General features: G+C 36.5%; 1 long non-coding RNA gene across 2 annotated transcripts in view; it reads left to right on the top strand.

Annotated features, from left to right (window-relative positions):
- The window catches only part of LOC105370265 (uncharacterized), a 94,000-nt gene that overhangs the window by 8,529 nt on the left and 71,241 nt on the right, over positions 1-14,230 (top strand). The window contains exon 1 of one of the 2 annotated variants that reach the window (XR_001749925.2): positions 13,314-13,650. The exons of the other annotated variant lie outside the window; for it this stretch is intronic. This is a non-coding gene — a long non-coding RNA (uncharacterized LOC105370265). Of the gene's footprint in view, positions 1-13,313; positions 13,651-14,230 lie in introns of those variants that run through there. 2 annotated transcript variants of the gene reach the window in all.

The following is a 14,230-nucleotide window of genomic DNA, read 5'->3' as shown; positions in this document are numbered from 1 at the left end:
CATTGGTGAAATGGAGCCCATTTTCCTGGTCTTGGCAGGACGTTCTGAAGTATAACTGAGTTAAGAGATGCGAAGGTGCTATATATAGCAGAAGCTAGCTCTATGTTGGACACTTTGTTCTGACCTGGGATTATAACTCAGATTTTTCAGAGGAGGTTAGGATTCCACTTTTTGGAGTTACATTTTAGCATCAGCTATCTACATAACAACATAGAAATGTCCTGACAGAGCAGCATGGTGTTTGGAACTCAGGTCTTGTGTTTCATAGTTGATCATTACTCCAATCTCTCCGAGTTTGTGAAACTGCCACAAAATTACACAAAAACAAAACAGCATCTCACATTCTGTTTGTAAAAGCATCACTTAGTCACCTAGGGCATAATAAATGGAAAGTTGTAGGGCTTAGAAAATGATCAGGTGTTAAGAGAAGCACAGAATGTACTATCATGTTTCAAAGGTTAATAAGCTTTTCCTGTTTCTGTTTTTTTTTTTTCTCTATAGTATTTTACCATCTCACATGACGCTGCTTCTCCAGATGAAGCCGAGATTGAAATGTCACACCGGCAGGATCAATTAGATGTTGTAGAATAGAGAGGCATTTGCTACCTGAACTTAATCCACAGGGCAAGAATGATTGAATGGAGGAGATTGGATATAGGGAGACTCAAGGGTAGAGGAAATCAGTTGAGCATAGTTTAAACAGACACAAAGCAGTATAAATGGTAACTCATGACAAAAAAAAAAAATCAGGGTGAGTGTTTATTATTGTGTATACTGGTTCACTTATTCAATTCTGAGAGACTACAAAGTGGAATAAACACCTGTCACAAAAAGAAATATAGTAGGAAAAGGAAGCAGGTATGTTTTTTGGAAATTCTAGATTTTTGTATCACTTCACAAAAGTGACGAGGAGAAAGATGCAAAACATATTCAGGCTGTAGGATGTCCTATGAGGAAGACAGTAGATGACATGACTGAGTAGGCAACATGATAGCTGTCTTCCTGTAGTTGAAGTCTTGTCATTGCAAGAAAGGTTAGGCATATTTTGGTAGGAATGACAGAGAGGAGGTTTTGACTTAGTATGAGGAGTGGCTTCCCAGTATTTAAAACTTGACAAGCATTGTTGGAGCAGCCTTGCCCAGCTCCCTGCTGCTGGATCAGTGGATATGTACTGTTGTAGAGGGATTCTTGCATTAAATGAGAGGATCTCAGTCACCCCTCTAATTTGCCTTCTCTGGAGCTTTAATTCACCTTGGAGAGGTTTGAAATGTTTTGCAGCTTGTTCAGGCTCAGACCTGAATGAGCTTTGAGGCTCCTTAGGCTTTGATAGAATGATACTTCTCAATAGCATGTACGCACATTGTAGGCCTGGGAATGGTTGCTGGTATATTTAGATTATGGGCAGCTGGTGTTAGCTAAGACATTTATTGGATTAGTCATCCCTAGTAACAATGATACGAAGTGTTTCTCCCGATTGTGAGTTGATATCTGTTATGTTGACTCTTTCAGTTTTATATTTATTTTTCTTTTCCATTCAAACACAGCTTAATGTGAAATCTTCTGGTTGGGAATCTGCTTCCCATGATAAACCACTATTTTTCTAGAGTCCACTGGTTGTTTCTATTTATGGATTTCAGTTTTGAGACATCGATTTATCATAGCTGTGGAAAACTAGCAGAAGGCTCAGAGTAAAGCCATGGAAACCATGAAGGACTAGGAAAACAAAATGAGAACATGTATTCTGGAGAGGTAAGGTTGAGGATAGAGTTTACACCTTTTTTGGCATGCCATTTTTTCCTAGTGCAGCTATTTAAATACATATACCTACATAGATGTTGATTAGCAGGTACAGAACCAACTGTGGTCTACTTGTTTGTGAAGGCTAATGTAGAGGATATCTTCTATCAAGACATGGGCATGAGCATCAAGATGTTCCCATAGCAGGCACTCTACCTTAACAAATCTTCATGGATTAAATTGAGTTCCATGTTAGTTCTAATATGAGCATCATGCTGCCAGTGAAGGTCATTAAACTTTAAAGTGTGTTCCCAGGGAATGCTGTGGCATCTTCATTTGAGAACATATTTTAAATTGGGTAGCTAATTATCTATTTAGAATAAAAGCAGATGAATAATTCTGAGTATGTTGTAAGGACTCATAGAGTTCTTCATTTCACTCATGTGTTTTGCTTGCATGTAAGCAAAGCAACAAATCCACAGTTCAAGGGCGAAGTAACAAATACATAAAAGACGACTACATAGAAAGAATTTCCTCATTGGAAATCTGTTTTCCTCCAATCAAAAAGAATGATAGTCTTAGTTCTGCATGATAAACATTCCTGACAAAAATGACCATCTATATTGCTCACAGTGCCTAGCATGTATGATAACCTGTTGTAGTTTGATTTGGGGGCAGACAGGATAGACTATAAATTTGGGTTTTCTTTAAAAAGCTACTGCATGTAAGACATACTGTTTCAGAACAAATAATGCCAATAGGAATTTATAATTTCAAGTTGGAATATAATTATAATTATATGGTTAGAGAAACTTTCAGTTTCTTTGTTTCTGGCTAATGAGTTCTAGAGCAGATATTTGGTGGTCACCTCCCCAGTATCCATTACTTCCCTTCTCCTAACACCTTGGGGTGGGGGGGATTGACTTCCCTCCCTTCTCAGCTAGGAAGCTTAGGTGGTGTTGATGCCACCACATGCCCTTAGGTGTAGGCTCTGATTGGCTTGTTCTAGTCATATCCCAGCCTCCCTGTCCGCACGACAAGAGCATGTAACACAATCATGCTAATGAGAATGTGAATCCAGAGAAGACTTTCTTTTTCTCTGGAAAGAGACATAAAGGTGTGAAGGCTAAAACTGCTGCATTTTGCTACTAGGAGGGAGAGCCCAGATCCTGTGAAGATGAAGCTGACAAGCTCTCTGTTCTTTAGTTTCCTCTTCTTTAAAATTGGGATGATATAGTACTTTCTTTTACATGTGTTGTGAAATTAAATTGGTTACCTCATGTAAGGTGCTTAGAATATCAAGCACTCAATAAATAATAAAAAGATTTATTCCCCTCCCCAGAGCCAATATAATAATTCTTTCAAACTGAGCCATCTGATTAATTATATTAATTTTTTGAATTAATTTTTTTCGTATTGGCTATATATACAAGCAATCTCTGCAAAATCTTCATTGACTTTTATTCCATAGAATTGGTTTTGCCAGTAATACAGAGTCATGTTAGCATTTAAACTTATATAAACATAGTCCTGGTGGTGTTTTAACATTAAACCTTAGGAGTCTGATCTTTGAAGAGCCATCTCTGGACTTCTAGAACCTCCAAAGTATCCTGATTCTTGCTTTCCAAACCCTCAGCTCTGTCTGGGAATAGTTTTGCAGAACCTTGGCAGTGAGAAGGAAGAGTTGTGATGCTAATTCCCAAGGCAGAGTCTGGAGTGATTATATCTTCAAATGATAATTAACCTGGGGGCATCTGTTGAGCTCAGTTAAGGCCTGGGCTAATCGAAGTCTGCAGATGCCTATGTTTAGAAGGCCATAACTGTACACAGTGGCTTCTGTGCTGTTCTTACTGTCCTAGTAACATTTTTTCCTTTAATATTGATGCTTATTTGCTTATTACCTTAAAGATAAGATTTACAGAGATAGAGAATAATGGTTAGAATTGATTCTAGAAGTTATAAATAATAGATTTTCCCTCGAAAAGCAAGGATTCCATTTTAATAAGAAATTTGTCAAGTTTTTGGTTAAATCTGACAGGACAAAGACATCTAATGTTTATAGATACTCTCATAGTGCCATGTGAAAGAGACAGAAACAATGTGAAGATATGTACATTTAGACCAAGAAGGGTCTAAAACATCACTTGCCTGTGGTTGGAAGAGTGGGATGGGAGAGGATGAGATAAGGAGGAACTTCCAGATGTTTACTTGGTGTACATCTGCATGGTTTGACTTTTATTTTATAGTGAATTCATGTGTTACTTGTATAATTTTAAGAAATTAACCTTGACATGTCAATACTTCCACCCAGGTTGAGTTATACTTTCTAAGATTAATTGTTTAGATCAGATTATAATAATCATTCCAGGTATTTATACTTGAGCCAATTGATGATTCAGATGAATTCAGAATTCATTAAACTTAAATGCTGGGTAGACAGCTAACTCCTTATTTATGTCTGGTATATTACATAATTTAATGTTTCTGAAAGCCCATTTTGCCTTTCTCTTTTTTCAGCACTCTCCCCCTCTCCTGGTTTTCCATACTACAGATATTTGGGTTGCATATACATCTGCAATGAATATTTTGCCTGAGAGGTTCATTCTGATATAAAACAGTATGTTAGATTTCCTGAATATTTATGACTTTCAGCTTTCACCAGTTCCTGCTGAATGAGAATCACTTGCCTGTGAGTGGGACGTTGCAGTAACCTCACACTCATGGCAATTAGAACTTGCTGCTGCAGTCGGATCTAGCAGCTGATGAAAAGTAGAAATTTTATGCTGGATGGGCCTTTAGGGACATTCATCCTAATCTTTCAGTTTTTATATGGGGAGAAGGAGGCCCAGAGAGCTAAGAGGAATTTTCAAGGTCCCTGTATTATATCTGGGGTAGATGAGAGCTAGAAGATAGTCCTGGCTCATTCTGCTTCCTGCCACAAGATGTGGTGAGGAGTCATCCAGAAGTCAGCCTGCTTGCTAAGTTTGCATCCTGGAAGCCGGAAACAATGTTGAACCACGTGGGATTTGGGGAATCCAGAAGATAGGAAGTGAAATTAGTGGAGTAGAATATGGTACAAATAGATGATAAAATGCAGGTTTAAACTGAGGAATATCCAACATCTGTATAGTAGTTGGAAAAGATGATTTTTTTTTCTGCTTGTAAAAATATATACTGCATTTAGAAAATTCCTGAAAGTACAGAAAAGAAAATTAAAATTACTCCTGATTCCATTGCCAATAAATGATTGAGACCGATATTTTGGGCCAGGGATGGTGGCTCATGCCTGTAATCCCAGCACTTTGGGAGGCTGAGGTAGGTGGATCACGAGGTCAGGAGATCGAGACCATCCTGGCTAACATGGTGAAACCCCATCTCTAATAAAAATACAAAAAATTAGCCAGGTGTGGTGGTGTGCACTTGCAGTCCCATATACTTGGGAGGCTGAGGCAGGACAATCACTTGAACCTGAGAGGTGGAGGTTGCAGTGAGCCGAGATCGCACCACCGCACTCCAGCCTGGGCAAGAGAGCGAGACTCCGTGTCAAAAAAAAAAAAAAAAAAAAAAAAAAAAAAGTAAAGAAAAAAAAGACTGATATTTTGGGATTTTTTTAAAAACATGTGCACACACATCAAATCAGATCATATTGCATATATGTTTTTTATGTAATATTATATGATGAGGCCAGGCGTGGTGGCTCATGCCTGTGATCCCAGGACTTCAGGAGGCTGAGGCAGCCTGATCACTTGAGGTCAGGAGTTCGAGACCAGCCTGGCCAACATGGTGAAAGCCCGTCTCTACTAAAAATACAAAAATTTGCTAGGTATGGTGGTGTGTGCCTGTAATCCCAGCTACTCAGGAGGCTGAGGCACGAGAACTGCTTGAACCCAGGAGGTAGAGGTTGCAGTGAGCCAAGATTGCACCACTACACTCTAGCCTGCGTGACAGAGACAGACTGTCTCAAAAAATATATATAAATCTGTATATTATGACACTTCCTGTATCATTGAGTATTCTGCAAAAATATGGTTTTTAAATGGCTAAATCTCAGATTAAAAAAATCATTTGAAGTGGAACCGTCGGAGCTGGACAATGTGGAATGAATCTGATAGAGAATTAAAAGAAAAGGGTCTAAGATTTGGTGCTGCAATCTGAGAGACATCAGCCTGGAATGAGTAGCGACAACAGCAGTGGAAAGCTGCCAGGCCACTGCAAGCGGCAGCATGACGTAGTTTAGAGGCAGGTGAAAGAAAGTCAATTCAAAGCCACATGCTTAAGACAATGTAATAGTTTTTCATTTTGTCCTCTCGCATTAACGTGCATTTATCATGCAAAACAATGTTTAGGCCACGGGCTGGCCACTCTAGGCTGCCTCTAGGTAAAGCCCTCATCCCCCAAGTGGAAGTGACTCAGTTACATAACCCATCCTTTGGAATTCAGGCCTTGATTATCCAGCCCACGTTGTCTTCCTTTGACACACAGTTGGCTGCATGTGATCCTTCTCCTAGAAGCAGGGTAATTAAAGGAGGAAGAGGTAAAATTGAAAACAGTCTAGTATGTCCCTTCTTAATCAGTTTTGCTAAAAGGTGCAATGAAGAATGAGGTAAAGTATTTGAAGTGCTTGGCTTTGTTTAGTTCACGTATTCCCCATTGCCATTGGTAATTGGGAGCCTGCCAAGTAGGAAACATGACTGTCACCTCAAAGATGAAAGTCAAATCCAGGATCCAAGGCCTGTGTATCATCTGTGGCTGTGAGGCAGCTTAAATGATTAGAGAGGGGACCACTTCTGAAAAGTGCTGAGAGAATGGGACACAGATGAAATCCAGCCCTTCCCAGTGCTCTGGGCTTAATATGCCTTTCTTTCCCTCTTTCCCCATTTCTACAGATTGTGAGTATATTAATCATTAAAGAAGCTAATCATACCTCAGTTCTAATGAATGAAACAGAATTCAGATAGGGAGCATAGTACTTTAGCTGAGAAGAGAATTTATGTAAGTATTACAGGAAATGTTCCTCAGTCTGATAAATACTCACAAGATACAGAGAGCAATAAAGATGGAAGTTCCCTTTGCTTTCTCTGTGTTTTCCCTGTGGGTTGGGTTGATGAGTCTGTTTCCAGCAGGGTATTGTTTCCTCCTGTGCAGAAATGCCAAATTTGCAGCTCTTGGTGGGGGATGAGCTTGGAATGTGATTTCTTCCTTTCTCCAGTAATTTTCTGCCTGCCTGCATGAAATGCTAACGAATGTCTCACACATGATGGAGCAATGAAATGTAGCCTTATTTTACTATTTTTGGCAGATTCTGACTTTAGAAGGTCTAGGTCTTAATGTAACAGTGACAAGATAGTGTTAGCAGACCCTGCTCCCCCTTCCTACAAATTTGTACTCTGTATACTCTGCTCCCTGTGCAGACCTGATGAGTCGTGTCACTGATTTGAGGCGAGTTCTATGTTTCTATGACATCCTCTGCATCCTATCTTATTCCACCATGCCTTCATGTCCAAGTCTCTGGAAAACTTCTAGCTCCAAGAAAAATAAGTCCTGAACTTCAATCTCAGACCAATTCAGACATCTATTATTAGTTGTAGATGAGTAGCATTCATGCCAGGTCTTATTTATTAATTAACTAGCTGGGGGTGGGATAGGGCATAAATAGGGAGTTGAACATGCTTATGGACTGCAGTTAAATGCCTAAATAATTTTATGATTACACCATCAAATGAATTGACTTGTAGGAGGGACTGAAGTGAAAACAGAGCTTCTGGTAATCAAATTTTAATTGAGGCTCTTGGCTGATTGATAGCGCCAGTGGGAGATCTTAATTTAGGCACGGTATCCTTCATTTGTGGAATCGATTGGTGGTACTCTGATACTCTGGCCACATCTGCAGGAGGGCCACCTGCAGATTCTGTGAGTGACAGAAGACTGCATGAGGCACAAGGGCAGAAACGTGCCAACAGCAGAGACAGAGATGCTGGTTTGAGGGAGGGCTGTCAGCAGTGACTGATGAGGAGCCCACACAGGCAATGTTGGGGTTCACCCTGCTTCCCATCTGCAACCCAAGGCTGCTTGTGGTAGTTGAACATAGTTTATTTTGAGAGTAGAAGAGTGAGAGAGACAAAAGAGGAGAAAGGTGGGGTTTGTAAATGCAGTAAAACTTGGATCCAGGGCAGAGAGAAAAGACTGCCTGGGGATGTATTCCTCAGTATGAATCCAGCTGATTCAGGGCCCCCTGGTCCTGGGGTTTAATTCAGACCCCATGTCTTCTATTTCTGTCCATCATCACCTTTTGCTGTCCTCATTCATCTTCTCAATGACCTTAGAAATTCTAGTGTTTGATCTGAAAGGTATAATCTGAAAGTCCATGGCTCAAAATGTGTCAATGAAAAGGCCCTTTGATCACTAATATACCCAGGAAAAGATGTTTCCTTTCTGTGTCTTAGTTTCTGTCATATGGGAAAGAACTCAAAAGATACCACAATGGATAAATAACTTAGAAATATACTAGGTCTGCTGTAGACCTGATTTCAGAAAAGCCTAGGGCAGTGACTGGAAATAAGTATAACCATTAAGAAAGATGAATTGTGAAATTCCTTTATTTTTCTGAAACAGTGTCAATATCTGGAGAAAAAAAATAATGAACTACCATTTGTGGCTAGAATAGCAAAGGCCAAGAAAGTATAATTGAAGATCATAAAAGTCTGAAGACTCTAGATTGGGTTGACATGCACTGGCCCAATCTAGGAACACAAGCTTGTGAACCTGTAGAATGTACCTCTCATAGAAAAGGAAGAATTTGAAATACAAACGGACTTAAAAAAAAAAAGGCTTAGATAAATAACAATAATGGGCTATAAAGGGAGGTTAAAGTTGCCTGGAGGGTACATTTTCATTTTTGTTTTTAATATTCTAAGTATTATTTTTTTAACTGATTAAATGTACATTCTTTTGTCAATAATTTGGAAAACATAAAGAAGAAAATAAAGATAAATTATAATCTTATTTTATAGACTTCTAACATTTTTAGCACTTATTTTTTTAAAAACTAAGTAATTAATTACTAGTATTGTTTTTACATATTTATGGGGTACAATTGCAGGTTTCTTACATGCATGTATTGTATTGTGGTGAAGACTTCTAACATTTTGATGTATTAACTCTTACTTTCCCACAGTATTTTAAAATTATCTTATATCATTTTGACTGTAATTTTGCATTCTGCTTTTATAAGTTACTTAAACCCAAAGAATTCTTCAAATCTTCTAGAAGTATTTATTTTAAATGAGCTTTTCAGATGTCATTGACTTTGGGGCACTTACTATTTTACATACTGCTAGGAAAGAAAAAAGTGTTTCCAATTAAACTGTGATACAAAACTTTAATGATAACTTTGCATGATATGTTTGTTGGTCACACCAGCCTTTTGACGCTTTGACATTTCTTTCATCTAGTTCAGGGATTTGGCAATAATTTTTCCTTTAGTTGCATTTCTTGGCATGTAAGAGATGCTTCTTTTGCATAATCCTCAGAAAACAAAATGTAGCACAGCATCATCTACTTAGGTTCATAAACCACATATGTGATTTATTGCTTTGGAACAAAATATGGCATAGTGATCATTTGTCCTATGGTGAATATTTGCTTCATCAACATAAAATGTACCCACTGTGTCTCTGTTTACATGCTTTTTTTGTGTGTACACAATGACTTTTCATCTCAATGCTGAATCACAGCGTTACATTTGAAGACATTTTATTTATTGTATTTAAAAATATTTAATTGACAAAGATTGAATATATTCAAGGTATATAACATGATGATTTGATATATGTATACATTATGTAACAATTACCACCATCAAATTAATAAACATATCCATCACCACTCATGCTGTACATTAGATCCTCAGAGATTGTTCAACTCATAACTGAAAGTTTGTACCCTTTGACCAATATCTCTCCATTTCCCTCATCTACTAGTCCCTGGTAACCACTCTACCCTTTGCTTCTATGAATTCAAAATTTTTAGATTCTACAGATAAGAGATCATTCACTATTTGTCTTTGTGTCTGGCTTATTTCACTTGGTGCAACGTCCACGTTCATTCATATTGTTACAAATGACAAGATTTCCTTCTTTTTAAAGGCTGATTAATATTCCATTACATATACATATATATCTCACATATTTGTTATTCATCCACTGATAAACACTTAGGTCGATTTCCTATCAATGCTATTGTGAATAATGCCACAATGAACGTGGAAGTACAGATATCTCTTCGTGATACTGATGTCATTTCCTTTGAATATATAGCCGGAAGTGAGACTGCTGGGTCATAGAGTAGTTCTATTTTTAATTTTTTGAAGAATCTCCATAATGGCTGTACTAATTTACATTTCTACCAACAGTGTATAAGGGCTCCCCTTTTCTCTACACCCTTGCCAGCACTTGTTATCTGTTGTCTGTTTCATAATAATCAGGTGTGAGGTGATATCTCATTGTGGTTTTAATTTGCCCTTCTCTGATGACCAGTAATGCTGTGCATCTTTTTATATACCTGCTGGCCATTTGCATGTCTTCTTTGAAAAGAAAAATGTCTATTCAGGCTCCTTACCCATATGTAAATTGGGCTTATTTTTTTTTTTTGCTATCGAGTTGTATGAATTTTTTTACATATTTTAGATTAACCTCTTATCAGGTTTTTGGTTTGCAAATATTTTTTTCCATTTTGTAGGTTGTCTTTTAATTTTCTCGATTGTTTCCTTTGCAGAAGTTTTTAGTTCATTGGAATCTGCTTGTTTATTTTTACTTTTGTTGCCTGTGCTTTCGGGGTCATGTCCAAAAAATCATTACTAAGACCAATGTCAAGGAGCTTTTTCCCTATGTTTTCTTTTAGGAGTTTTATGATCTAAAACATTACATTTAAATATTTAATTTATTTCAATTTAATTTTTATGTGTGGTTTAAGACAAGTGTCTAATTTCATTACTTTGCATGTGGATGTGCAGTTTTTTCAACACCATCTATTGATGAGACTTTTCTTTTCTTCATTGTATGATCTTGGCATCTTGGTCAAAAAACAATCGACTGGAAATGTGGACTTATTTCTGGCCTCTCTGTTTTGTTCCATTGGTCTATGTGTCTGTTTTTATGCTAGTGCCATACTATTTTGATTACTGTAGCTCTGTAAGAGATTTTGAAGTCAGAGAATTTATTTCTCCTGGCTTTGTTCTTTTTGTTCAAGATAGCTACTTGGGGGAATTTTGTGGTTCCATACAAATTTTAGAATTGTTTTTTCTATTTTTTTAAAAAAGTCATTGGAATTTTGATAGGAATTGCATTTAATCTGTAGATTACTTTGGGTAGTATGGATATTTTTAACAATATTAATTCCTCCAATCCATGAACAAATGGTGTCTTTTATTTGTGTCTTCTTCAATTTCTTTCATTAATGTTTTATAGTTTTAGTGTAGAGATCTTTCACCTCCTTGGTTAAATTTTTCCTAAGTATTTTATTTTATGTTTTGAAGATCTTATAAATGGCATTGTTTTCTTGATTTCTTTTGCAGATAGTTCATTGTTAATGTATAGAAACACTAACAATTTTTGAATGTTGATTTCCTATCCTGTCAGTTTACTGAATTTGCTTACTAGTTCTAATAGGTTTTTTTTGGTAGAGGCTTTAGAGTTTTCTTTATGTAAGATAACACTATATCAGCAAACAGAGACCACTTAGCTTCTTCCATTCCAATTTGAATGCCTTTTATTTCTTTGTCTTGCCTAAGTTCTGTGGCTAGGATTTCTAGTACTATATCAAACCGAAGTGCTGAGAGTGGGTATCTGGTCTTGTTTTGGGTCTCAGAAAAAAAGCTTTTAGTTTTTCCCCATTCAGTATGATGTTAGCTATGGGTTTGTCATATGTGGCCTTTATTATGTTGAGGTACATTTCTTCTACATCTAATTCGTTGAGTTTTTCTCATGAAAAGATGTTGAATTTTGTCAAATACTTTTTCTGCTTCTATTGAGATGTTTATACTCATTTTTTATACTTCATTCTGTTAATGTGGCGTATCGTGTTTATTGATCTGCATATGCTGAACAATCTTTGCATCTCGGATAAATCCCACATGATCAGGGTGCATGATCATTTCAACGTGCTGTTGAATTTGGTTTGCTAGTATTTTGTTGAGGATTTTTACATTTATATTCATTGGGGATATTGGCCTGTAATTTTCTTTTCTTGCTGTGTCCTTACCTGACTTTGTTATGAGGGTAGTGCTGGTATCATATGGTAAGTTTGAAAGTATTCCCTCATCTTCAATTTTTTAAAAAAGTTTGAGAAAAATTGGCATTAATTCTTCTTTAAGTGCTTAGTAGAATTCACCCCTGAAGCCATATAGTTCCAAGCTTTTATATATTGGGAGTTTTTTTATTCAATCTCCTTACTCATCATGGTCTGTTCAGATTTTCTATTTCTTCATGATTGCATGTTGGTAGGTTGTACGTTTCTATGAATTTATCCACTTCTTCTAAGTTTTCCAATGTGTTGGTGTATCATTGTTCATAGTAATCTCTGATGATCCTTTGTATTTCTGTAGTATCAGTTGTCATATCTCTTCTTTCATATAGGATTTTGTTTGAGGCTTCTCTCCTTTTTTGCTTGGTTAAGTTGGCTAAAGGTGTTTTAATTATGTTGATTTGATTTTTTTTCCCTAAAAACCCCAACTCTTAGTTTCCTTGATCTTTCCTATTATCTTTCTAGTCTCTATGCCGTTTATTTCTGTTCTAATCTTTATTATTTCCCTCTTTCTGCTGACTTTGGGCTTAGTTGGTTCTTCTTTTTCTAGTCCTTGCAGGTGTGAAGTTAGGGCAATTGAAATCTTTTCTTTTCCTTTATGTAGGTTATTTGTTGCTATAAACTTCCCTTTCAGCATTGCTGCTGCTGCAGCTCATAAGATTTGGCATGTTGTGTTTCTGTTTTTGTTTGTCTCAAGATACTTTTTGATTTCTCTTTTGATTTCTTCTTTGATCTATTGGTTGTTCAGGACTGTGTCGTTTAATTTCCACATATTTGTAAATTTTCTGAAGTTCCTCCTATTACTGAGTTCTAGTTTTATACCTTTGTGGTTAGAAAAGATACTTGAGACAATTTCAATATTGGAGACATTTTAAATAGCAGCTAAATCAACATGTGTGGTACCAACAATGTACATAATTCAGTTGAGGTAATGACAACACAAATGTCTGTCATCATGTTCATGCATGCATGGTAATGACAACTCCTTTGTACTTAACTGATAATAAAATGCCATCAGCTGATGGGGATAATAATATGCCAACTACTATAAGACATATTCCAATTTCAGAGATGCTAAAATGTGGAAAAGGTGCATCTTAACATCAATGGGTTTAATTAACCTGAATTTAATTAACCATTTTACTATTCTGGGCTATTAAAAATAAAATTTATTTATAGAAAATAAACTTTTTTTCCTTATAGGAAATTTTAAATAGTATTTTTCTTTGCATTTGTGATTTTTTTGGGAATAGATTCTGAGAACTGAAATTATTTAGTCAAAGAATATAAACATTTTTAAGGTGTTTGATCTTTATTTCTGAATTGCTTTACAGAAGGTAGTTCAAACTATACAGTCTTATGAACAATGTTATTTCAGCATTCTAAACTTCACTTTATAGAAAAAAGCTGGCATAGGTGGCCTGCAAGGTGGCCCCAATGATCTGAAGCGATGGCATGTGACTTTTGAGGCAAGGGCTGACACAATTGCAGCTTCTACCTTGTTCTTTCGGACACATTCTGTGGGAAGCCAGGTGCCAGGTTTGGCAGATACTCAAACAGCCTGTGGAGATGCCCATATATGGAAGAAACAAGACTGACAATGAGAACCAACCTGTGAGTAAAATGCCTTAAAAGTGGATTCTTTTGCCCGTCAGGTTTTCAGATGTCTAAGGCCCTTATTAACAGCTGAGTTGCAACTTCATGAGAATCCCAGAGCCACAACTGCCCAGCAAAGCCACTTTCATGTTTTTGACCCACAGAAACTATGAAAGATTATAAATGTTTATTATTTCTGCTACATTTGGGGGTAATATATTATGCATAAATAGATAATGAATACAATAATGGCATTGTTTAATAAAATATGCAAAGATGTCACTATCCAAAAGAGAGTACATCTCTAGTGGGCCATTGATTTAATTATTCGTGGCAAGTCTTATATTATTATGAGCACTTGGAGTTTCAATCTTAGCTTATTAGCTATGTGAACTTGGTCAATTCTTTTAGTCTCTTCGGTCCTGAGTTTTTTTTTTTTTTTTTTTGTCTTTCAAAGGAGATAATGATACTAGCCTTAATTTCTTCAGATGTGTATTTTAAATTAAAAAGAAAATTTTGTGTTCTATAAAATTTGAAATTTTCAATTTTAACTTTAAAATTTTCAACTTTTAAAATCACAAGGAACATAAACCAGGTA

This window comes from Homo sapiens, chromosome 13, assembly GCF_000001405.40.
Source record: "Homo sapiens chromosome 13, GRCh38.p14 Primary Assembly".
Lineage (NCBI taxonomy): Eukaryota > Metazoa > Chordata > Mammalia > Primates > Hominidae > Homo > Homo sapiens.
Note: the sequence above shows the minus strand (reverse complement) of the source record. Positions and strands in the feature narration are given on the sequence as shown.